Source organism: Homo sapiens, chromosome 19, assembly GCF_000001405.40.
Source record: "Homo sapiens chromosome 19, GRCh38.p14 Primary Assembly".
NCBI lineage: Eukaryota > Metazoa > Chordata > Mammalia > Primates > Hominidae > Homo > Homo sapiens.
The window spans coordinates 31,856,214-31,883,274 of NC_000019.10; the positions used below are offsets into that span (position 1 = coordinate 31,856,214).

The following is a 27,061-nucleotide window of genomic DNA, read 5'->3' on the forward strand; positions in this document are numbered from 1 at the left end:
ATATTGACATACAAAAGTCAATCACTTTTCTACATACCAGCAATGAACAAGTGGAATTGAAACTAAAAACATAATGCCTTTTACATTATCACCCACTAGATGAAACACTCAGGTATAAATGTAACAAAATACATAAGAAATATGTATAAGGAAAACCACAAAACTCTGTTGGAAAAGTCAAAGAATAATTAAATAGAGATATTTCATGTTTATGGATAGGAAGACTCAATATTGTCAAGATGTCAGTTCTCAACTTGACCCATGGATTTAATGCAATCCCATCGAAATCCCAGCAAATTATTTTGCAGGTATCAATAAATAATTCTGAGGTATATGAGCTGAGCATGGTGGCAAATACCTGTAGTCCCAGATACTCTGGAGGCTGAAGTGAAAGTATTGCTTAAGCCCAGGAATTCAACTCCAGCCTGGGCAGCATAGTGAGACCTCATCTTTAAAAAAATAAAATAAAATAATAAAGTTTATACGGAGAGGTCAAAGACCCAAAATAATCAGCACAGTATGAAGAACAAAGTTGGAAGACCGTCTCTAACCAACTTCAAGTTTTACTGTAAAACCACGGTAAACAAGATAATGTGGCATTGGTGAAAGAACAGACAAACAGCTCATTAGAACAAAATAGAAAGCCCGGAAATAGGCCCACATAAGTATAGTCAGCAGATTTTTAGCAAAGGAAAAAAGGCAATAAAATGGAACAAAGATAGTATTTTGAACAAATGGTGCGGAAACAACTGGACATCCACATGCAAACCAAAAAAAAAAAAAAAGAGTCTAGACACAGACCTTACACCCTTCAAAACAATTAACTCAAAGTACATCACAGCCCCAAATGTAAAATACAAAACTATGAAACTCCTAGAAAACAGTATAAGAGAAAATCCAGCTAATCTAGAGTTTAGCAATGACTTTATAGACCAAACACCAAAGACACAATCCATGGAATAATGAAGCAATAAGCTGAACTTCATTAAAATTAAAAATTTTAGCCCTATGAAATATGCTGTCAAGAAAGTAAAAAGAGAAGCCACAGACTGGGAGAAATATTTGCAAAAGACACATCTGATAAAGAACTATTATTCAAAATATGCAAAGAACTCTTAAAACTCAATAATAAGAAAATGGCTCATTTAATAAATTGTGCCAAAGACCTTAACAGACACCTCAACAAAGAAGATATGCAGATGGAAAATAAGCATATGAAAAGGTGCTCCATGACATATGACATAAGGTAAATGCAAATTAGTACAGCTGTGATATACACTACACACCTGTTAGAATGGCCAAAATCCAGAACACTGAGACATTAAATATAAGGATGTGGAGCTAAAGGAACTCATTCATTGCAGGTAGGAATACAAAATGGTACAATCACTTTGGAAGGTAATTTGGTGATTTCTTACAACACTAAACACACTCCTGCCATACTATCCAGCAATCATACTCCTTGATATTTACCCAAAGGAGCTGAAAACAGATACACAGAAAAATCTGCACACAGATATGTATATCAACTTTATTCATTCATATGTGCCAAAACTTAGAAAAAATCAAGATGTTCTTCAACAGATGAATGGAAAAATAAACTGTGGTACATTTAGACAATGAAATATTATTTAGTGCTGAAAATCAATGAGCTATCAAGTCATAAAATGAGCTATCAAACCGTAAAAAGACAGAGAGGAGTCTTAAATGCATATTACTAAATGAGAAAAGCCAATGTGAAAAGGCCTCATACTGTATGATTCCAACTATATGACATTTTGGAAAAGGCAAAAGAAGGTAGACAGTAAAAAGATTAGTGGCTGCCAAGGGTTAGTGGGAAGGCATGAACAGACTGAGTGCAGAAGATTTTTAGGATATGAAGCTGCTCTGTACAATACCATGATGATAAAGACGTATCATCATAACCGGTCTGAATCTGTATAATGTACAACAAGAGTGAGCCCTAATGTAAACTATGAACTTTGGGTGATAAGTATGTGTAAATGTAGGTTCATCAGTTATAACAAAAATGCCACCTTGGCAGGGGTTGTTAACAATGGGGGAGGCTGTGCACATGTGGGGACCGGGTTGTATGGGAAATCTCTGTGTTTGCTGCTCCATTTTGCTGTGAACCTGAAACTGCTCCAAAAATAAATAAAAATAAAATGAGATTAGATAGAAATAGATGTAGATAAATAATTACAGACAGTTACAGACACAGATAGATACAAGTACAGATAGATACAGATACTGGTATAGATAAAGATACAGATAAAAATACAGATACAGATAGATGATACAGATACAGATACAGATAGATACAGATATAGATACAGATACAAGTATAGATACAGATATAGATCCAGATACAAGTATAGATACAGATACAGATAGATGATACAGATACAGACAGCTACAGGTACAGATTGATGATACAGATACAGATACAAATACAGACAGATACAGATACAGATATAGATAGATACAAATATAGATACAGATACTGATAGATGATACAAATAGATACAGATATATATACAGATACAGATATAGATACAGATACAGATAGATACAGATACAGATATAAGTACAGATACAGATACAGATGTAGATACAGATAGATACAGATACAGATATAGATGCAGATACAGATACAGATAATGCAAAGTGAGTTTAGAACCAACGTCTGCACCATAAGCATATTATTATGTGACTGTGTCCACATTAAAGGAAAAGTGTGCCCTACAGAAAACTTATTGATGCCAATGTGGCTATGATGAGTTATCAACAAATAGAATCTATGCTGAACTATCATATTTTGCCCTCCAAGGCCAGTGACCAGTGCCAAGTTAACCTGTTAAATCCCAAAGCAGAATTATGTGACCAGATGGAAAATTCCAATTGAACATCTGTGTTACAGAAAGAATGGGGCCTTCCACAGCCTGGCTGAAGATGCAGAATAATACTTGTTAGTAGTCATATCTCAAAATGAGAAAAGTGGCTATTCCCTTTGTATGGAGCTGTGAATCCTGAACTTTTCTTCATCAGCAACTTCTTAAACATCTTTTTCAGTGAATCTCCTGCTTTGGAATACTGCATCTATGACACAAAGCAAAGTAACAAATAATTCATTTTCTCACTTTTTTTCCTTTTATAGGTACATAATATTTTACATATTTATGGGGTAAGTGTTTGTTACACATGTATAATGTGTGATGATCAGGTCAGGGTATTTGGGGTATCCATGGTAAGTACTCAAGTACTTATCATGTCTATTGTTGATATCGTTTTAAGTCCACTCTTATAGTAACTTTGAAATATACAAACTACTGTTGCTAAGTATAATCACCCTGGTCTGCTATCAAACATTAGAACTTATTTATTTCATCTGACTATATATTTGTACGCAAACTCTCCTCATTCCCTCACTCCTACTCACTCACCTCCTCTTCCCAGTCTCTGGTAGCTGTTAGTCTATTTTCTATGTCCATGAGAACATTTTTGACTCCCACATATGAGTGAGACTATGCAATATTTGTCTTTCTGTGCCTGGTTTATTTCACTTAACATAATGGCCTCCTCCAGTTCCACCCATGTTGCTGCAAATAACATAATTTCATTTTTTATGGCCGAATAGTACTCCATTGTGTGTACATACCACATCCTCTTTATTCATTCATCTGCTGTGGACACTTAGGTTGATTCCATATCTTGGCTATTGTGAATAGTGCTGCAATAAACACGCAAGAGCAGGTCTCACTTTGATATACAGATTTATTTTCCTTTGGATAAATCCCCAGTGGTCGATTGCTGTATCTTATGGTAGTTCTATTTTTAGTTTTTTGAGAAATCTCCATACTATTTTCCATAGTGGTTGTACTAATTTACATTTCCACCAGCAGTGTATGACTTCCCTTTTCTCCACTTCCTTGCTAGCATCTATTACTTTTTGTCTTTTTAGTAATAGCCATCCTGACTGGTGTGAGATGCTATATCACTGTGGTTTTAATTTGCCTTTCCCTGAATGATTAGTAGTAATATCGAGCATTTTTTCATAGACCTGTTGGCCATTCATACATCTTCTCTTGAGACATGTTTGTTCCCTTCTTTTGTCCATTTTTAATGGGATTATTTGTTTTTTCACTATGGTGTTGCTTAGTTCCTTGTATATTCTGGGTATTAGTCCCCTGGAGGATGTGTAGTTTGCAAACATTTTCTCCCATTCAAGAGGTTGTTTCTTCACTTTTTTGATTGTTTCTTCTGCTGTGAAGCTTTTTAGTTTTATATAGTCCTATATGTCTACTTGTTTTAACTCTTCTTTAATCTAAGACATGTGGTTGTCAATCAGAGCTGCAGATTATCCTAAAATGACCACCACTAGCTGAGTTGATAGACTTCAGAACAAAAACTAGGCCCTTGATGGCCTCTTCAGCCTTCAGATACCTCTTAAGAAAATTCGTTGTTCTCCTTTAAAGATTTTGAAGTACTGAAAATAGTTGGAGGCCAGGCATGGTGGCTCACGACTATAATCTCAAAACTTTGGGAGGCCGAGGCAGGCAAATCTCCTGAGGTCAGGAGTTCAAGACCAGCCTGGCTGATATGGTGAAACCCTGTCTCCACTAAAAGTACAAAAATTAGCCAGGCATGCTGGTGGACATCTGTAGTCCCAGCTACTTGGGAGGCTGAGGCAGGAGGATCACTTGAACCCGGGAGGCAGAGGTTGCAGTGAGCCAAGATCACACCACTGCACTCCAGCCTGGGGGATAGGGCAAGACTCCGTCCCCCCAAAAAAAAAAAGTTGGAAAAATTCCCATCCGTATTTTTAAAGTTCTCTATGAGTTTGAAGATGTCCAGGTTAAGAAATATTGAAATACTTGAGTCAAGAAAGTAGAAAGAGAACCTGTTATTTCAGAAGGATTCAGATGTTCCAAGGAAAATTGATGCATAGTGACACAGTCTGTCCAAGATATGGGTTGACTGTTACCTGGATTCTGGGATATAATACTGTACAGTTATTAGTTAACCAAAAAAAGGCATTTATGGTTGTTAGCAGCAAAGAAATATATGATGTTGTCTCCAAATGTTACTAAAGTATCATTCAATCCCAGAAGAAAATGGAACAATATTTATAAAATTCTGAAAGAAAAAGTAAAACAAAAAATTGTCTTTTAGCCCATCACAAACAGGTTGTTTTATTAAGAACAGATTAGTATAATTCAGCAAGGTTGGCTAAGGGTTTTAGGACATAATAACAACGTATTGTGTGCTTAGAAACCACTAAGAGATATTTTAATTGTTCTTACCACAAAAAAATGATAAATATGTGGGCAATGCATATGTTAATTAATTTGATTTAGACATTTAATAATTTATACATGTTTCAAAACATTATGTTGTACACATTAAATACATGCAATTTTGTCAATTAAAAATAAATAAGTGAGTTTTAGGACGTAGTCTGGTTACAATAATGGAAGACAGTCATAGCTGCTAAAATAGCAGCTCATCTTTCCTGTAGTTTTTGATTGCCTAATATTCAATCTCAAGTACATGGTAAACATGGATCCTTCTTATGGAGATGAATGGAATTTTTTATTTTAGTGAACTTTCCTTACATAAGTTTACCTCCTAAGAGTTTACAACATGATATCCAATCCATTGTTTCAACTGATGAGGAATTATAGTCCAAAGTGTACTATGGAGTTCTGAGATTTTGACTTACATGGAGTAGCTTATAGAGCATCCGATCTCCCATTGAACTAGAAAATCTAGATAAAATACACAAAGGGATGTCTTCTAGAAGAATCAGAACGTTACCAAAGCAATCAGGATTAAGAGGCCATGACCCCGGAAGGGAGGGAAGGGATGTGAAAGTTAGCCCAACATTACATCTACTAATTATCCCCTTGGAGGATTTACCAATCCTCCTTGGCTGCAAAGAGCAAGAGGCCTGAGATGGCATATTTAATTTTTCCTTAATTTCACAGGCTAAGAACATAAAAATTGGAATTCAGGACTGTCACTCTAGCTAAACATAAACAGCCAAGTTTCCAGAGAGTAGGAGTCACAGACATACATCTGGCACTCTGCACCTGTTTTCTCCTTGAGACATTTACTGATTCCAAAGCTTTGTGGGGCTAGAGTCCCTGAAGCCAAGCAAAGAGAGGAAGAAAAGCTGAAGGGAGGTTTTGGCTATCTTACCATGCTAGGAATACAAAAATTAAAGTTCAGTGCTCACCAATGAAGCAATACACTGGTAAATATTCAGGCTTTCAGCTGAGATGCCTGAAGGACAAACCAGAGATAGAATCAGCCTTACAAACAGTGAAACCCAGACAGGAGTCAGCTCAGTTCTGGATTGAATCAAATTGGTATGTTTATACTCTCACTGTCATGTAGAAGAAGATAATCACTGAAAGCTTCTACAATTTTTCAGAGAGTATGTCTGGTATAAAATTTAAAAATTATCAAGCACAGAAGGAAACAAAACCAAGTGGGGGGTGGCTAGAAATCATACAAATAGGAACATCTTCATAGATTTAAGGTTATCAGACATTGACTAAAATAACTATGGTTAGCATGTTCAGGAAAATAGGCAAGATGAAGTTCTCCCAAGAATACTTTTTAAGAATAAAATGTAATTCTAGATCTGAAAAATTTTAATGGCTGAAATTGTGTACTCAATAGAAGTGTTTAGTAGCAAATTAAACACAGCTTTAAAAAATAAGTAAATTGGAAATTAAAACAGGAGCCAATTCACTTAAAATATAACAGAGAGGAAAATATATGAAAAATACAGAAGAAAATGTAAGGGGAACATGTGGTACAGTAAAAATGTTTAATATACTACTGATTAAAGATAATGAAGAGAGGAAAGAGGGAAAGGGGCATGAGCAATATTTGAAGAGATAATGGCCAGTAATAATTCAAGAAAAGAATTTGCCAACACAACATCATAAATGGGAAAAAGATTTCCAACTGAAAATCAAGAAACTCTGCAAATGTTAGGCAAATAAATATGAAGAAACTACAACTCAGAATATGAGCGCCTAACTGCTATAACAAAAAGAAAAGTCCCTTAAAAACATCCAGAAAAGAAAAGAAGTATTACCTTAAAAGTAGCAATGGATGGACTGACAGCTGACTTCTGCAAAGAAATGATGGAAGCCAGGAAAAAATAGAAGGCTATGAACAACAATTGAGTCAAAGAAGAAATTAAAACATAAATTTTAAAATATCTTGAGACAAACGAAAATGGAAACACAACGTACCAAAACTTATGAGATGTAGCAAAAGCAGCTCTAAAAAGAAAGTTTATAGCAAGAAATGCCTATAACAAAAAGAAGACTGAATATAAATAGCTTAATATTTCACCTCAAGGAACTGGAAGAAAAAGAAGCTCAGAGGAAGGAAATACTAAAGATCAGAGCAAAAATAAATAAGAGAGACTATTCAAAAATAATTCAAAAGATCAACAGAACTGAGTTGTTCTTTTTTGAAAAAAATTGATAAACCTTCAGCTAGACTAAGGGAAAAATGAGGACTCAAAGTCAGAACTGAAAGAGGAGACATTAAAACCAATACCACAGAGATACAAAGAATTATAAGATTACTATGGACAATTGTACATCAACAAATGAGATAATCTAGAATCGAGAAAATTCTTAGAAACATGCAATCTACCAAGACTAAATCATTAAGAAACAGAAAATCTGAACAGACCAATGAGTAAGGAAATTGAAACAGTAATAAAAAGTCTCCCAACAAAGAAAATCCCAGGACCAGATAGATTCACTGCTGAATTCTACAAAACATTTAAAGAACAACTAATACCAAACTCTACCACAAAATTAAGGAGGAAGTACTTCCAAATTCATTTTAAAAGTCCAGGACTACCCTAATACCAAAGCCAGGCAAGGACACTACAAGAAAACAAAATTGTAGGCCAATATCCCTGATGACCATAGATGCAAAAATCTTCCAGAAAATATTAGCAACCTGAATTCAACAGTGCATTAGAAGGATTATTCACCATTATTAAGTGGGATTTATTCCTGGGATACAAAGATGGTTCAACATATGCAAATCAATGAATGTGAAATAGCCCATTAACAGAATAAAGGACAAAATCTATGTGATTATTTCAATAGATGCAGATAACTCGTGGCAAAATTCAACATCATTTTATGGTAAAAATTCTCAACAAATTAGTTACAGAAGGAATGAACCTCAACACACAAAAAAAGGCCACATGTCACAAGCTCACAGTTCACACAATACTCAGTGGTAAAATTTGAAAGCTTTGTCTCTAAGATCAAGAATAAAACAAAGATGCCCATTCTCACCACTCCTAACCAACATAGTACTAGAAATCCTAGCCAGAGCAACAGGCAAATAAAAGACATCCAAATCAGAAAGGAAAAAGTGAAATTGTCTCTGTTTGCAGATGGTGTAATTTTATGTACAGAAAATGCTAAACGTGTGAAAAAATTGTTAAAACTAATAAATACAGTAAAGTTGTAGAACACAAGATCAGCATATAAAACTCCATAATATTTCTTTATAATAACAACAAACCTATTAAAAAATTCAAAACAATCCTGTTTACATTAGCCACAAAAAATTTAATAGCTTGTGAATAAATTAACCTAAGGAGGTGAAAGATCTGTATGATGAAAACTACAAAACATTGATAAAATACATTGAAGAAAACACAAATAAATGGAAAGATATCCTGTGTTCATAAACTGGAAGAAGGAATATTATTGAAATGTGCATAACACCCAAAGCAACCTACAGATTCAATGCAATCTCTGTCAAAACTCCAATGACATTTTTTACAGAAGTAGAAAGAAATCCTAAGATGTGAACGGAACCACAAAGTACCCCAAATACCCAAAGCAATCTTGGGCCAAAAAACAAAGCTGGAAGCAACATGCTAAATGATTTTAAAATAGGATACAAAGCTATAGCAATCAAAACATCATGGTACTGGCATTAAAATAGGCACATAAACCAATGGAACAGAAATGAGAGGCCAAGAATAAATTCACACATTTATAGATTTGGTCAACAAATATTTATTTATAAATAATTGAATAAATATAAATGTTTATATTGGTCAATTGATTTGTGACAAAGGTGCCAAGAACACACAATGGGGAAAGGACAAACACTTCAATAAATGGTGTTGGAACAAATTGCATATCCACAGGCACAAGGATGAAATTTGACTCCGATCTTGAAAACAGCTTTGCAAAGATTATGACAGTGACAGAAGTCTAGCAAGGCTGACTCTGTCTTGCTTCTAACAAATGATCCAGCAACCCCACTACTTGGTATAGATCCAAGGTAAGTGAAATCAGTACGTTGAAGAGATATCTGCACTCCCATGCCCATTGTGTTCATTGCAGCATTATCCACAATCACTAAGATATGGAATCAACAGAAGCATCTATCAACAGAGGAATGGATAAAGAAAATGTGGGATATATACACAATGGAATAGCATTCAGCCTGAAAGAAGAAAATCCTGCCATCTGTGACAACTTGGATGAACCTGGAGGACACTATGTTAAGTGAAATAAGCCAGGCACAGAAAGACAAATATAGTATGATGTCACTTCTACATAGAATCTAAACAAGTTGAATTCATAGAAGCAGAAGGTAGAATAGTGGTTGCCAAGGCAAGAGTGAGAAAGAAAGACAGGTTGGGAGATAATCAAAGTATACAGAATTTCAGTTAGACAGGAATTATTTCATGACATCTATTGTGTAACACAATAACTATAGTAAATAACAATGTATTATATACTTGAAAGTTGCTAAGAGATTAGATTTTAAGTGTTCTCACCACAAAAAAGCATGTGAAATAATGCATATGTTATTTAGCAAAATGTAGCAATTTCACAATGTATACATATTTCAAAACATAAATGTACACCATAAATATATACAATTTTGTCAAGTAAAAATTGAAAAATTCTAGAATGAATAATAAGAAAAATTTACACTTTGATTTTGAATTACAACAAAAAACTAGTAAGTAAAAAAGAAGATAGAAAGTTAAGTATAAATGTCAGAAAGAATTATCAAACTAGACTTTATAACCACTGAAAATAACTTTTAAGAGATTGGGCCACTGCACAAAGCAGGACTCTGTCAAAAAAAAAAAAAAAAAGAGTGGAAAGTTGGTTCCACTTGTGATAAAGATAGAGTAACAGAAACTGAATTTACCTTCTGGCCTTAAAAATTAAAAACAAAACAAAACCCAAAATTTGTATCAAGCAAGGTATTTTAGACACTGGACAACAGGCAGCTCAGGACAATGATTCCCAAGTGGATACAAACAAATGAGGTGACCCCTACAGTAGCTTAAGACAAAGATTGTCAGAGTGAATTTAAAAATATAAGCCAATACTTATCTATACTCTATCTCAAAGAACCAAACTTTATATAAATGATAGCCAAGGAAAATTATAAAATATTTTGAACTGAATGAAAATGAAAATCTTTTGAACTAAATAGACAATATATTAAGATGTATGGGATACCACTAAAGCAGGTATTAAAGGAAAATTTGTAGCATTACATTCTAGCACAAGAAAGAAGAAATGTCTGAAATTAATAACCTAAGCTTACACTCTAAAAAGCTTTGAAAGCTTTGTCTCTAAGATCAAGCTTCCACTCTAAAAAGTTTTGAAAACTTTGTCTCTAAGATCAAGCTTCCAGTCTAAAAGGTTTTGAAAACTTTGTCTCTAAGATCAAGCTTCCACTCTAAGCTTAGGTTATTAATTTGAGGTTACTTCCTGGAGAGTTTCCAGGTCATACTGCAAGAAAGGGAAATCCAAAGAGAGCTCAGTGAGCTCCCTGAGTTAAGGAGACAAAATTTTCAAGTTAAAAAAAGAGGCCAGAATCCACAGGGCAGGATACAGAATAAAAGATTTCTGCACAAAGAGAGTTCTGGAGATCTGGAGAGAGTTCTCCTCAATTCTTCATCTCAGCACTGATCAGCATATTTGTGTGAGGAAAATGCACAAAGCCAGGGAAAAACCAGAAAGGATCACGTTTTAAAATAATAAAGATCACATATAGCTAGAAATAATTCACCTTCACAGCAGCCAAAGTGGAGAAGCTTCAAAACACACAGGGCTTTGGGTGGAGCACTCAGAAGGTATTGCCTCGGTATTGGAGCTATAGGAGCCCTAGACTAAAGGCTGCTCCTGCCCAGTCTAACAAAGGTTAAGAGTAAGGATATGAAAACAGTGATTATTAGTATGTTGCATCTTTCAAGAAGACAAAACAATGCATGAGTATGTTAAGAAGAGACATGGAAGATATTTTTTTAGACTGAAGTAGAAAAATAAGTACACTATCCAAAACAAAACACAGAAAAATAAAAAGACTGAAAAAACTTACATTGCAATGTGGAAAACTCTAAGTGGACTAATATTGGGGGCCCAGAAAGCATAAGGGCAGAAAAATATTTGAAGACATAGTGGCTGAAACTTTTCCAAATTTCATGAAAATTGTGAACCTGTAGATTAAATGAATTCAACAAAACCCAAGCACAATAGGTATGAGGAGCACTATAACAAGATCTAACATAATCAAGTTGCTTAAACCAGTGATAAAGAGATAATCTTAAAATCAGCCAGACAGCAAAAAATACATTATATACAGAGAAATAAATAGAATGATAGCAGTTATGCTCAAAAAGCATGCAAAAATAAAATACAGAATATAACCATTAAATATATATGTCAGAAAACAGTACATCTTTAAAGCACTGAAAGAGAAAGTCTAACCTACAGTTTTATACCCAGTAAAGCTCTTTTGGATAAATAAAGGTGAAATAAAGGTCTTTCAGACAAAGACAAGCTGAAAGAACTTATCATCAGAAGACTAGTATCATAAGAAATGTTAAAGAGAAAATCCTTCAGGAAAAAAAAACTGATACCAAATAGAAATCAGAATCTACACAAAGGAATTAAGATGGGAAGAGTATGTATGAGGGTGAAAATTAAAAACTTTTCAAAAGTTTTGCAAATCTTTTTTAGAAGATAATCGATTGTTTAAAACAAAATAATAACAATGTATAATGGAGTTTATAACATAAGCAACATGTTATCAGAGTAAAATATATTATGACAATAGCAAAGAGACTTGGAAAGGAAGAAACAGAAGTGATTGTGTAAGGTTCCTTGCCATAAGAAAAGTGTTATAATATCATGTAAGGCAGAGCATGATAAGTTACAGATATAGTCTGTAAACCCTAAAGCAGCCACAAAAATAGCACAACAAAGTGTTATAGCTAATAAGTTAACAAAGGAGATGAAATTGAATCATGATATTTTCAATTACTACAAACAAAGAAAAAGAGGAGAATGGGAAGAGAACAAAGAAACTAATAGAAAATAATTATCAAGATGGTAAATTTACACATGACTGTATTAATAATCACATTACTCATAAATGGCCTAAACACTCCGATTAGAAGGCAGAGATTGTCAGAATAGATTAAAAATATAAAAAATACACATCTACACTCTATCTCAAAGAATCATACTTCATGTAAGAAACAAATGGGTTAAAAGTTAAATGATGGTCAAGGGAAGTTATAAAATATTTTGAATTGAATAAAAATGAAAATCTTTTGAACTGAATTAACAATATTTTAAAATGTGTGGGATACCACTAAAGCAAGTATTAGAGGAAAATATATAACATTAAATGCTAATACAGAAAATAAGAAATGTCTGAAGTTAGTAATCTAAGCTTTCAATCTAAGAAATTAGAGAACAAAACAAAACAAAAACAAATTAAACCAAAGGCAAAGAGAAGAAAATAAATAATAAGTGCAGAAATAAATGGAATTAAAAACAGAAAAATAATCCAGAAAAAACAGAATCAAACTGGTTTTTTGAAGATATCAATAAAGCCAATAAACCTCTAGCCAGATGTACTAAGGATAAAAGAGGGAGAAAGAGAGAAAGAGAAAGAGAATCTCCTGTATCCGGACTAAGAAGGAACATCATTACAGACCCTGCAGACATAATAGTAATCATAACAATAAAGATTAGCCTGTGAGTAACCTGTGTCTGAATCCACAAGGAGCTAGTCAATAGTTTAGATTCCTGGGGCCCATCCCAATCATAATGAATAAAAATTTCAGGGCTAATCAGAAGAAAGGAACATAATAATAATGATAATAATAATAGGGTTTGACATTTTTGCAAACACTCCAGATGACTGATGCAAAGTTGAGCTCAAGGTGCACTGCCTTAGATTAAATAGAGTCAGCTAGTCTCCAAGATTCATGACTAGGAAAATTAAAAAATAGGTCATGCTCTACTGACTTCCCTGTGAAGTCTAGATCTGCACTGTCTAGAAACAACCTGTCAGATAAAGGGGAAGCTGATGTGACCAACAATGACATACCCATGAATTTAAGACTCTCTCCATTTTCTCTTTACAAGTTATGCATGTTGAAAGTGAAGCTCAAATAGGTGGCACCATCCCAGGCACATATTCCAAGAAGCAAAAGACTAAAATTGTCTGCCACAATAAAATAGAATACCACAATGATACATTTTGGTATCTGTCCACAAAACCTTCTTCAGGTTCTGCCTGATTACTAGATTTCTAACTGTAACATAAACCCCTTTTCCTGGAAAACAATTGAAAGCAAGGAAGTTAAAACAATATTATGTGGGACAAAATATAAGTCTGCTTGACATCTTTTAAGTAAATCACATACATACGTATTTGACTCTCATTAGTGACAAGTGATTCTTAAAACTTAGAAAGATGCTTTAGCTAATCACGATACCCTCACTGCAAGCTCACAGCAGCCAAAGATTGGCCTATCTGCTGTGCAGAGAAGGATATTCTCTGGTCACAGCCCACTCCTCAAACCCCAGGGGTTCCCAGTGGCCCAGGCCGACCAGCATACTGGCATGATACAGCCTATTACATACCGTTTAAATAAAGATTTGCAAGGAAAATGAATTCATGGCAACATTCATTATTGATCATTCTCAAAACTGTCTGGAGAATTCCCCCAGAGGGCTTAGGGAAGAAATTAAACATTGTTTTCCTGAATTGTTTCCTGCTGTTTTCCCACTTCACTGGTTTTGCTCCCGTAATTGTGTGTGATCCTATAGCCACAAATTTTAATATGCCTGAATTATTTCATACAGCTTCTGGATCACATGTCAATAATTTGGGTGTGAATAACTATAATAATGATGTTAATAATAATCACCATGATGAGGAAAGATCCTTAGAGTTCCCTGTTTACTGTTATCTCTTAACTCTTTAATTACGTTTTGTCTGACCTAAATCTACTGCATCAAAATCTGCAAGTAATAAATTCCAAGTTATTTCTAGTCTCACCTGCCCACCCTTGACCACTGCCTCTTTCCTGGAGCTCATTCCCCCTTTCTTCCCCCTACTATTGGTCTCTTATGGTTTTCCTTCTATTTCTCTGACCTTCTAGATCCTCGTCACCATTTTTATGAGTTCAGAAATTTGGACTTTTTTTTTTTTTGAGACAGAGTCTTGCTCTGTTGCCCAGGCTGCAGTGCAGTGGCACAATCTTGGCTCACTGCAACCTCCACCTCCTGGGTTCAAGCGATGCTCCTGCCTCGGCCTCCCTAGTAGCTGGGATTACAGGCATGCGCCACCACCCCAACTAATTTTTGTATTTTTAGTAAAGACAGGGTTTCACCATGTTGGCCAGGGTAGCCTTGAACTCATGACTTCAAGTGATGTGCCCACCTCGGCCTCCCAAAGTGATGGAATTACAGGCATGAGCCACCATGCCCAGCCCATTTCTCAGAATTCTAATCAGTGTTTTCTCATGTCATTTCAAACACTCTCCTTAGCCTCTCACCTCCTTGCCTAGCTTCAAACAACATCAGTCTACATATCCAGAATTCACATCTTTGATGCAAGACTCCAGGTGTCATGCCTCCACAGCTCAGTTAACCATCTGATGTCACCTCCCACTACTGTCTCATGTGCCCTATGCTCCCAAACCAACTCCTCTGCTCACGGCTCAGCCAGCTTTCCCAGTGCCTTTTTATACCCACAGCTTTGACTTCCTGGTCCTTCTTCCTAAAACGCTTTGAAAAATCATATCCAGCAGTATATCAAAAACAGCAAATTATCCATTATGAAGTTTGTTTAATTCAGGGAAAGTAAGAGTGGTTCAACATTAGCAAATATAATTTTAATATAATTTAAGATATCAAATATGACAAAGGAACCAATATATCTATTGTTGAGGAAAAAAAATTGAAAACATTCAATCGTCATTCCTGATTTTTTAAATGTATAGAATACTGAATATAAAATGCTAACTTCCTTACATGATTTAAAGAAAAAAACCTGTCTTGAACCAATCTTCATTCATTATACCCAGGAATAAAACATTTGCAACATCCCTTCAAAGGGAAAATCTTTATAAGAACATTCATTATCACCACCACTATTTAATATTTCTCTGAAAGTTCTATCTAAAGCAGTGAGACAATAAAATTATGTACAAAATATAAATGTAGGAAAGAAAAAACAGGGGTTGATATTTATATATTTTATGATTATTTCCCTTAAAAAATTATCTAAAAATCTAGTAGAGCTAATAATATAATTTAATAAGGTGTCCAAATAATAAATATTAACAATGAATCACTTTCATGAATAAAATAATGATCAGTTAGAAAATATAACCAACAACCTATCAGAATGACCAGGATCAGTTGGGGTAAAAAGAAAATTCCAGACAGAAATACTCTATCTATCTATCTATCTATCTATCTATCTATCTATCTATCTATCTATCTATGTTACCTATGTCTGAATCCATCCACCCATCCATCTGTCTGTCTATCTGTCTACCTATATACACACAGCTAACCCTTGAAAAATGCAGTGGTTAGGGAGAACCCTAACCACTCAATCAAAATCCACTTTTAACATTCAACTCCCCCAAAACTTACTTAACTCCTAATACCCTCATTAATCTATCTATCTATCCATCCATCCATCCATCCATCTATCCATCTATATCTATATATCTATATCCATATCTGTATCTATGTGTATAGATAGATATACACACACATATAGCTGACCCTGGAACAATGCAGAAGTCAGGGGACCAACCCCTCACACAGTTGAAAATCCACATTTAACTTTCGCCTCCCTGAAAACTTAACTACTGATAGCCTGTTAACCCAAAGCCTTACCAATAACATAAACAGTCATTATTTTAACACATTGTCTAGTATCTACATATATTTTACCCATTCATGACCTGCCTTTTTCTTGTTTTTTTCAATATTTCTAGAGTACATGGCTCACCTGTGGGTTTCTTTTTCAAATTGTTGCAAATCTCCCCTAAGTTTTTCATTAATTATTGAAAAAAGAATCCATATATAAACGCATCCATGAAGTTCAAACCCATGTTGTTCAGGGGTCAATTGCATGTGTGTGTGTATGTATATACATATATCCATCACATATACTCAGATATAAAGATATTCATGCCAAGATTATTTCTCTATTCATCTGAATCATGACTATAAAATTTTTTTGAAAATACGATAAATAGTAAAGGATTTTCACAAAAGTTCTTCCAATAAGTTGGTTTGTTCTGATGAGAATAAAATAACAGCTTTATGTTGGATGACAAGTTTAAGGCCAATGAATTATGCACTTTAGAAGGATGAATTTATGATACGTTAATTATATATCAATACAAAATTTTAAAATTAAAATACTACATGTACTACCTCTAAAGAGGGGACTGCTTATTCTCACATGGCATTCTGCTTACCCATGCATAGGGCAGCACAGACATAGACACATACAGCTCTACGTATGTGAACCAACTCAACACAGCTTCCCAACTTGGTACTGGCAATAATGAGATCTTCACCTTCCATGCAATTCCCCATGGTACCTGGTAGAATTCCACTTTATACCTTTATATAAGAATCTCACTTTATAACTCATCCTTTGACATCTTATATGGCCACACGCCATGCTCATTCGTGTGTGAAAGTGCACGTGGTACTATGATTTTTTGTACCCCGTAGTGCCTTCTTTATGCCTCTCCGATTCTGTTTTGAGGAAACAGAAGCTCTGAGAAGGCAAGGGGCTTGCCCGAGTTCACAAGAATAGCAACTTCCAGACCTGGGACTTGAACCTAGGTCTCTAGATTGCATGCCACGGTTGACGCAGCCCTATGGCCCCGGGCATGCGCTTCTCTTCTTCCTACATGAAAGCCCTCCTTACAAGCCTTCCTTGTACCCTATGGCTCCAGGATCTGGCCCCTTCACCTCCCCAGAGTCAGAGTTACCACGGTGCAGTGGCGCACCAGTGGGCCTCCGGCAATGCTGCTCCCGCTTCCCACCTTCCAGTGGCACTTACCAGAGACACCCAGTGGTAAGAATTAACTGGGGAATGGCCCTGCCCCTGCTCAGGCCAGCTAAACAGAAGCATTTAGAGCAGCAAAAAGGGCGCTTTCGTTCTGAAGACCCCGCAGGCCCTTCCAACGAGGCCAGTTTGGGAAGGAGGGCATCCCCTTAGTGGACCTTCACAGCCACACTCTCGACATTGGCTCCAGAGAATCCATGACGGGGAAAACTCATGAAAGCCTGGACAACAGACAGAGAAATCTAGCCACGTGATTCTGAACACGAATTCAATTTCCAAAGATTATTTCTAGGGGGCGTAAGAACCTGAGGCGCACCCCGAGGAGGCCAGTAGTGAGTGATGTCAGACTTCCGAAAGTTCTATGTAAAGCAATGAGACAATAAAAGTAAGCACAAAATATAAATTTAAGAGAGAAGAAAAAAGTGTTCATTATGTACGTATTTTATGATTGTCTTCCTAAAAAAAATTATCTGAACATCAATTAGGGCTAATTATAGAATTTAATGAGGTGGCCATATAATAAACATTAAAAATTAATCACTTTTGTGAAGTAAAGCAATGACCAGTTAGAAAATATAACCAACAACATAGGACGATCAGGAGGAGTTAGGGTAAAAAGAAAATTCCAAACACAAACACACTATCTATCTACCCATCTGTCCGTCTGCCCATCCATCCATCCATCCCTCCATCCGATTATCTGTCTGTCCATCCATCCATCCATCCATCCATCCATCCCTCCATCCGATTATCTGTCTGTCCATCCATCCATACATACATCTATCTATCTATCTATCTATCTGCCCATCCATCCATCCATCATCCATCCATCCATCTATCCATCTATCCAACCATCCATCCATCCATCTATCTATCCACCCATCCATCTGTCCATCTATATATTCATCTATCTATCTATCTATCTATCTATCTATCTATCTATCTATTTATCTATATCTATCTATGCATTCGTCCATCTGTTCATTCATCCATCCATCCATCCATCCATCCATCTATCTATCTGTCTACCTATATACACACAGCTAACCCTTGAAAAATGGAGTGGTCAGGGAGGACCCCCCTCACTCAGTCAAAAATCCCCACTTTTAACTTTCGACTCCCCAAAAACTTACTTAACTCCTAATACCATCATTAACAAATAAAAGCAAGCAAATTTGAATAAGGTAACGTTTGGGGGCATATCTAACTAGCAAAGATGTCAACAGCACCCAGGATTGATGAGAGCACAGGAAATGAACACTCTGAAGGGAAATAAAAGTCCAGGCAAACTTTCTGCAGTGGTCCCATTGTTGCTCTCCCAGGAATGCGTCCTTAGGAATGGTCACATGTGTGCAGAACTGAATTTCCAAGTCCGTCTAGTGTTGCAGTATTTACAGTTGCAAAAAGCCACAAACAATCTAGGAATCTAACAGAAGGGGTTAAGGCGACTAAACTAGTGGGTGGATTAATAGAAAAAAATACTGTATAACCATTTTTCTTAATGTGGACCTGTGTTCATGGACTCAGAAAAATATCCGTAATATAAAATTAAGGGAGAGAAGAAGGCTGTAAACAGCACATGCGTGAGCCCTTTTTGTTTTAATTAAAAATTACATATATAACATATATGCATATATTATATTATATTATATTATATTATATTATATTATATTATATTATATATATTTATGTATTTGTTCTTCTTGGAAACAAAGATGTCAATGAATGAATACCAAATTACTAACAATGGTTATCTTTGAATTTATTTTCTTTTCTCTTATTCATTCTTTCTCTCTCTAGATTTTTCTTTTATTTTTTGAGTGTCTGTGTTTCCTTTCTATGATTATTTTTATATTTATAAAAATATGTAAATATTTTTACATATATGTATATCAGATGAGCTTTCCAGAACCTTCTGCCACTCTCAGGAAAGAGCACGCTGACCAACAGCGGGCGCAGGTGGAAAGTGAAGGCTCAGAGCATTGCTCTGAGACTTGTCCTGGGAGGCTCCTGGTCTCCTCTCCAGCTTCCTGCTCACAGAGAGGCGAGGCTGGCTCAGGCCCCGACGGTGACGCTGACGACGGCGACAGGGAGGTGTGCGAAGCCGGGCGCGAGCTGTGCCAGCTCTCGCTAATCCTCTGCAGTATGGTTCGCTGCTAATTTGTCATGGCACATATTTGCCTTATGTCTAATTAGCATCAAATTGCAAACTGCTATTTGCTAACAATTTGTTGCATCAATCTGCTTGAAAATCTATAGTTTAGAATTGGATTACAACTTATCCTGTCTATCAAAATTCTAGTTCACACATACACAAAATAACTTCCCCTTCCCGCCAAAAACGTCGCAATGTTTGCAGTGGCACAAAAGGAGAGCGATGTGTTTTTTTTTCCCCAAAAGAAAGAAGAATAACTATGGGGTGTCTCATTTTGAATGTCCTGGCTTTGGTTTCCCATGGCCTGGGAAAAGAGCTGGAATAGTGCTCACACTCAAAAAGGGTGCTCCAGGCCTTTCTCAGGGACTTTCCAGGAAAGTCAAGACATAAAAAAGGCCCAGAAGCCCAGTCTTCTCAAGTCCCAGACATAGAACTCCCAGGCAAAATTGTGCAAAGAACAAGCCCATACCTGCTGAGGGACACAACCTCACCCCAGGGTTTTGCCTGCATTCGCTCACATAATGCTAGCAACCTCCTAAGGAAGTAGGGGTTAACATTTTTCTTATTTACAAATTACGAAACTCAAGTTGAAAGGCTAAATCACTCAAGGTCACATGTGTGGCAAGTGGCAGCACAATAATTGAAGCCCAACCGTGATGTTTCATTGCTAAGGTGACCCTCTAAATATCAAAAAATAGGCAGTAGGAATAACAATGATATAAAAATTATAAAATGAGATATAAATAAAAATAATAGAAAATGAATGAAATAAAAAGGAAATAACAATTAATCATTGCATTTCACTTGATAGTTTGGCCTTATGGAGACATCATCTAGTTGGATGTTGAAGATTTTGGTTTGGCAACATGCCCTGTGGACAGATGGAAGACTCCGGGCCTCACATGCTCATAGCCTTCTCGTGGTCTCAAAAGCTACCTCCTGTGGTCCATCTAGAAGGAAGAACTGAGATAAACTCCCTCGCAGAGGGACGATGCCTATGGGTTCCAAAGAGAGTCAAAAGGTGACATTGGGTTGAGACATCCCTTCTTTCCTGTTTCTTGGGCAAGGAGAGACATGTTTCCAACAGATGGAAGTTGGAGCTCTATTGCAGAGCACAGGCACAGAAGTCGTTACATTCTTAGCCCAGTAGCTAGTTGACTAAAGATGTGCCATCCATTAAAACTCATTGACCTCACAAGTGGTGACCAAGGGGCAAGAGGCTTTCATGGTGTCCACTCCAGCTCTCCTTGGCACCCCCAAAGAACGACTTTGCTTTGAAAAACAATTCATAAAATCATTGTTATTATTATTATAAATATTCAAAACCTAGCTGAACACAGTGGCTCATGCCTGTAATCCCAGCACTTTGGGAGGCCCAGGTAGGCAGATCACTGGAGGTCAGGAGTTCAAGACCAGCCCGGCCAACATGGTGAAACCCCATCTCTACCAAAAATACAAAAATAAAATAAAATTAGCCAGGCATGGTGGCACAAGCCTATAATCCCACATACTTGGGTGGCTGAAGCAGGAGAATTGCTTGAACCTGAGAGGTGGAGGTTGCAGTGAGCCAAGATTGCACCACCTGCACTCCAGTCTGGGTGACAAAGTGAGATTCCGTCTCAAAAAAAAAAAAAAAAAAGAAATCAAAACCTCTCCTTTTGTAGCTTCTCCTAATAATCCTTTGGGCTGGAAATAAAAGATCATCTAAGAGCATCTTCAAAAAAGACCTAGAGAAATCACAAGGAAAATTTAAAAAGCAGTTATCTTCCCCACACCCACGAACATGGTCAGTGGCCATGAGTTTGATATGCAGGACTGATATTCCTGCGAAAGATGTTTGTGGAGTACCTGCCAGCTGTCACAACCTGTGTTAGGTGCTGAGGACATGGAAAGGAGTAGGGTGAACCAAGCCATCACAGAACACAGGACGCAGAGGCATGAGGAAACTCAAGGCCCTAAGACGAGTTCTTGATAAGGACAAAGTCTAGTGAATGCACGTCAGTCTAGAGACAGACAAACAGAGAAGGCTTCCTAGAGGAAAAGATGCCTGAGCTGAAACACAAGGACAGGTGCATGGGATGAAAGGATCCTTCCAGGCTAAGTGATGCACATGTGCATGCCATTCCCCAGGAACTGAAGCATCTGTGAGTTGCAGAGGCCACCCCCTGGATGAGCAGTGTCAAGGTTGAGACCAGGGTCCCCAGACTGTCTTCTGCCAGTTGAGGAATCCCTTCCAAAGAGCAGGGTCTTAGGATGCCTGTAAAAGACATCCTTTCTCATCTCCCTTGAGGGTAAATCAATCTCTCTGTTGAGCTCACTAGAGGAGTCAAGCAAAAGGAAGAAAGATTCTAAGCCAACTCAGCAAGACACAGGAAGCAGGTTAAGAAGCTTTCTTCACTTGTGTTCTTGGAATGACTCTTTCACATAATAAGATGTTCAGTGAGGGTTTGCCCCATGCCAGATTCAAATAGAAATGATGCTACCAGCCTCTGTCCAGATGCACGTTTCTCTATATTTTGAATGGAAGGAGGCCAGACACTGCATAGATCTGTAACCAGCAAGGAAGCAAACCAAAAGGTGCCCAGGAAAAACAAATAATCCCCAAACAGTTGCCTCCAGAAGGAAGAAGTTCATGCTAAAGAACTGTGCTTGGGGCTTGTGTGTTCAAGGCCAGTCAGTGGGGCAGATAAACCTTCAGCCTCCCCCCACCACACATAGACATACAAGCTCAGGAACTAGGACAGGCAGGGAACTTGGGGTTTTGAGGCAGCCAGAGAGGATGATCAGAAGAGCTGTCCAGAGGCTAGACACAGTCGTCTCCCCAGGACAACAGGGTCACCCTTGCTCAGAGCGTGCTGTGTAAAATCCATACCATAAGACTTCCTTTGCCAGCACAGCAGAGTGACAGCACCAGCCAGCAAGCCCAAGACATGGCCACACTGACCTGGCATCCTAGAACACAAAGCCAGTATGTCCTTTAATCAAAGTCTGAGTAATCTCTTTGGATTCAGTTTAAGTTAGCCTGTTCTCTCACTACTATAAAGGAATACCTGAGACTGGGTCATTTGTAAAGAAAAGAGGTTTAATTGGCTCATGGTTCCAGAGGCTGTACAGGAAGCATGGCGCCAGCATCAGCTTAGCTTCTGGAGAGGCCTCAGAAACCTTACAGTCATGGTGGAAGGCAAAGGGGGAGCCAACAGTTCATGTGGCCAAAGCAGGAGGAAGAGAGAGAGGAGGCAGGTGCTACACACTTTTATTTTTTTCCAAGATGGAGTCTTGCTCTGTTGCCCAGGATGGAGTACAGTGGCACTATCTCAGCTCACTGCAACCTCCGCCTCCTGATTTCAAGCAATTCTCCTGCCTAAGCCTCCCAAGCACCTAGTATTACAGGCATGCACCACCAGGCCCAGCTAATTTTTGTATTTTTAGTAGAGACAGCGTTTCACCATGTTGGCCAGGCCGGTCTCAAACTCCTGACCTTGTGATCCACCTGCCTTGGCCTCCCAAAGTGCTGGGATTACACTTCTAAACAACCACATCTTGTCATGAGAGCAGCATTAGGAGATGGTGTTAAACCATTAGAAACCACCCCCATGATCCAATCACCCCCCACCTGGTGCCACCTCCAACATTGGGGATAGTGACTGAACATGATATTTGGGTGGGGACACAAAGCCAAATCGTATCAGGCATCCAAAAACAGCACTCCTTAGAAGCCAGAGGTACTCCAGCCTGGGCAACAGGGTGAGACCCCGTCTCTACAAAAAACTAAAATGCATTAGCCAGGTGGCATGGTGCGCACCTGTAGTTCCAGCTACTTGGGAGGCTGAGGTGGGAGGATCCCTTGAGCCCCAGAGTTCGAGGCTGCAGTGAGCTGTGATCATGCCTCTGCTCTCCATCCTAGGCAACAGACTGAGATCCTGTCTCTAAAAGAGGAAGAAGAAAGCCAGAGATACAAGCCTTTCAATGACCCATTAGCCCACCTGTAGGATCCGCTATATGCCTCCAGATCCCAGCAGAGGACTGAGAGGTGGATAATCTCCCGGTATTTGTGTGTGCCACTTTTGTGTGAGCAAAGACCCAAGGTTGCAACAACAGTAGGTGTGTACACAAAAAAGGACCAGGTCCATACTGGTGCATACTCTCCTTATGGCATTAAAAAGGGACATGCTGAATCCTGGACAGAAAGGAAGAGGCCCCCCAGAACTGCCTCCAGTAGGGCCAGCCTGTGTTGGGGGCCAGCCCAGCATCTCTGCGTCCCATGGCATGCCCCACAGGGGGACCACCTTTGTGCCTCCCTGTTGCCAGTAAAGCACACTGATCTTTAACCTTTTCAGCAACTGCAAGACATCTCTGGGACCTCCACACAGCTCCTGTCAAAATGTCGGGCTGCTAACTATAAACTTTATTTTGATGTCTTGCTTTTCGGGAATAATTACCTTGTACCTAAAATGTTAGCCTATTTACTGCTTGTGCAAAAAGATGACAATAAAATCAATGTTGCACAATTCCCCAAAGTGCATCAAAGTCTTTTGCAATGTTAATGGACTGGCAGGTCTGAGAGGTGTGAGCTCATGTTGGCCTGCTTGGGCCCCCAGCTCTAGCAGGAGAACAGCTCTCTCCTCATCAACCTGCAAGCCCTTGTCTGCCAAATGTATTCATTCTAGAGAGTTGGCTCAGTCCCTGGGGTGAGAGAATGGGTGAAATGGGGGAGGGGTGATGAGAGCAGATTGGCAAGTACATGAAGTCACAAACTGTGTGAGCTGAAAGACGCTTGCAGGGACTGACATATCCAATTCCACCTCCCAGAGGCAGGGAAGCAGTTTCAGAGAGCGGGAGTGGATCCCCTAGGGCCCCACAGCAGATAAATTGTGATGCCAGAATAAGAATCTATATCTCCATTTTTATTAGTATTTTTTTAGATGGCGTCTCACTCTGTTGCCCAGGCTAGAGTGCAGTGGCCTGATCTCAGCTCACTGCAACCTCCACCTCCCAGATTCAAGTGATTCTCCTGCCTCAGCCTCCCAAAGTGCTGGGATTATAGGCATGAGCCGCTGCGCCTGGCCAGAATCCATATCTTCTAATTCCTGGTCTAAAATTATATCATCCACTCTGCTCTTTGGGGGACTGAATGATTTTTCCTCCCTCTGGCATTCCCTCCTAGAACATAGACCAAGTGATGTCTTCAGGCAGGAGGGCAGCTAAACAGTGTCTACTGGTCATGTAGCTAATACAGGCACCATGTCCTAAGAAGTTTGGAGAAGGCATCATAAAAAAATAAAAATTCAGTTCCATGAAGTCATAGTGTATGCCGGTAAATTAAAGGTTCTGAGAAGTCTTACAATTTGCAGCGTGTTTCGTTTTGTTTACCCAGCATTTCTAAAGTGTCTTCAAATAAGTTATTTTGGTGGGGAGAGGTGCGTAATATCGGTTGGAGAATTTAATGTGGCAAAGGCAGCCTTAAATATATTCACCAGCATCACACTGGTTTTTTTGATGGCTGTGGAGAGGCAGGCCCTACAGGAACAGGTGTGGGAAAGTCTCCGTGTAGCATAGCCAGGTGAGGACAAGAAACAAAAAGAGGATTGGTGAAAACAGACTCCACTATGCCATCATCTACAGCCCAGGGCAGCCAGATGTGTCTTCTTGTCTTGGGCCATTTTGCGTTGCTATAAAGAAATACCTGAGGGTGGGTAATACATAAAGAAAACGGGCTTATTTGGCTCACAATTCTGCAGGCTGTACAAGCATGGCACGAGCATCTGCTCAGCTTCTGGCGAGGAATCTTCCAGTCACGGTGGAAAGAAGGCAGAGGGGGAGAGGTGTGTCACACGGTGACAAAGAAAGCAAGAGAGCCAGACTCTTTTAAACAACTAGCTCGTGTGTGAACTAACAGAACAAGAACTCACTCATTACCATGGAAAGGGCACCAAGTCATTCATGAGGAATCCACCCCCCATGACTAAAACACCTCCCACCAGGCTCCACCTCCAACATTGGAGGTCACATTTCAACATGAGATTCCAAGGAGACAAACAACCAGACTTTATCACTTCTTCTCCTGGCATGTGTTGGGGGCATGGGTGGGCTGGATAGAAGCCGAGTACAGGAACACAGAGGTTGGAAATTTGCAAAAAAAATAGCTGTAGCAGAGCACCAACCCCCCGCCCCCAGTCTGTCCAGTCTAAGATCACATTTGACTGAACAAGGTATCGGGGAAGGGAACAGTGGAAGGCAGAAGATGGGACCCAAAAGTCATTTGGGAGGGAGCAGTGCAGTGGGGCTCCACCCAGGCAGAGCTGATCCTCAGGCAGCTCTGGGTATCTTTGTGAAGACGCAGAGGCCCAAGGCCCAAGACGCAGAGGCCCTGGTGTGACTGCAGTGGTCACTGGGGCTACATCCATTGGGCCTTCTGCAGCAGGCCCGGTGCAAACGGAATGTGCTCTCTCTGGGGACTGACTTCATGCAATGAGGCCGATCCCTTGAGAAAATGGACAAACCCTGTGTTGGGCAGAAGTGGCATGCCTTTGGCTTGGTTTTCATCTTCCATTGCAGCCTTTTGTGGCCGCATCAAGAGAACAAGCTGGCGAAACACCCTCTTTACTGGCCATTTTCCTTTAACCACATTCCTGGACATTTTTACCCTAGAAGTCTGCCCACCTCTTTGCTGCTGGCTCACCTTGGTTTGGGGATTTTCTTGCAGCCTTTCCCATAAGCTCAGCGGGCCACTCTCTGCAGAAATGTAACTCTGCATCTAAGACGTAACTGTTAAACCCTACCTTTTGGTTTCTGTCCCCAAAACCAATGTATTTTAATGCAGATGCCCTGCAGCTCAAGGGTTTTTAACAATTTTTGGAGGGAAAAATGTCACACAGCTTTTGAAAATCTGCCATGAGACCTACTCCCTGAATTCTCCATTCGTTTACTCAGAAAAACTCAATTGAATCAGGGAGGCATGATTCCCCATTAGAGGAATCATTTTTTCTTTCCTCTGGTGGGTTAGATTTGTTTAGGTGTTCACTGATCCCTCACTTGATTAATCACCCCAGCTGCCTTCTCCTTGCTCACCAGGTGGGGCGGTGAAACACCAGAGTGGCATGAGGGTCCTGTAGTCCTGTTGCCATGTGGGGACCCACTGCATCTCTGGGACAAAATTCCACCATTTTTCATTTGAATTTCTTCAAAGCTCCCAGGTATGAGCCAATTCCAGCTTATTTCCAAATTATTGTAGACTTATCTGTGAATATACTTCACCCCCATTTCCTGCAATCTACATGCTCAGCCACACTTGAACAAATCCCTCCAGTCTGCCTTCCTGAAACAGGATTGGATGAGGGAGGCTCTGGGAAAAAGCAAAGAGAGAGACCACAAAAACCAACAGGAAGAAGAGGTGGAAGAATCAAGGAAGGTGGTGACAGTTTAATCCAAGATGGTAGAAATGGGAGATGAGACGGAGAAGTA

At 38.6% G+C, this 27,061-nt stretch overlaps 1 long non-coding RNA gene across 21 annotated transcripts in view; it reads right to left on the reverse strand.

The window, feature by feature from the left end:
• Positions 1-27,061, reverse strand: part of LINC01837 (long intergenic non-protein coding RNA 1837) — a 234,720-nt gene that overhangs the window by 18,834 nt on the left and 188,825 nt on the right. For 3 of the 21 annotated variants that reach the window (XR_001753908.2, XR_001753905.2, XR_002958401.2), the window contains one exon: positions 2,746-3,099. The exons of the other annotated variants lie outside the window; for them this stretch is intronic. This is a non-coding gene — a long non-coding RNA (long intergenic non-protein coding RNA 1837). Of the gene's footprint in view, positions 1-2,745; positions 3,100-27,061 lie in introns of those variants that run through there. 21 annotated transcript variants of the gene reach the window in all.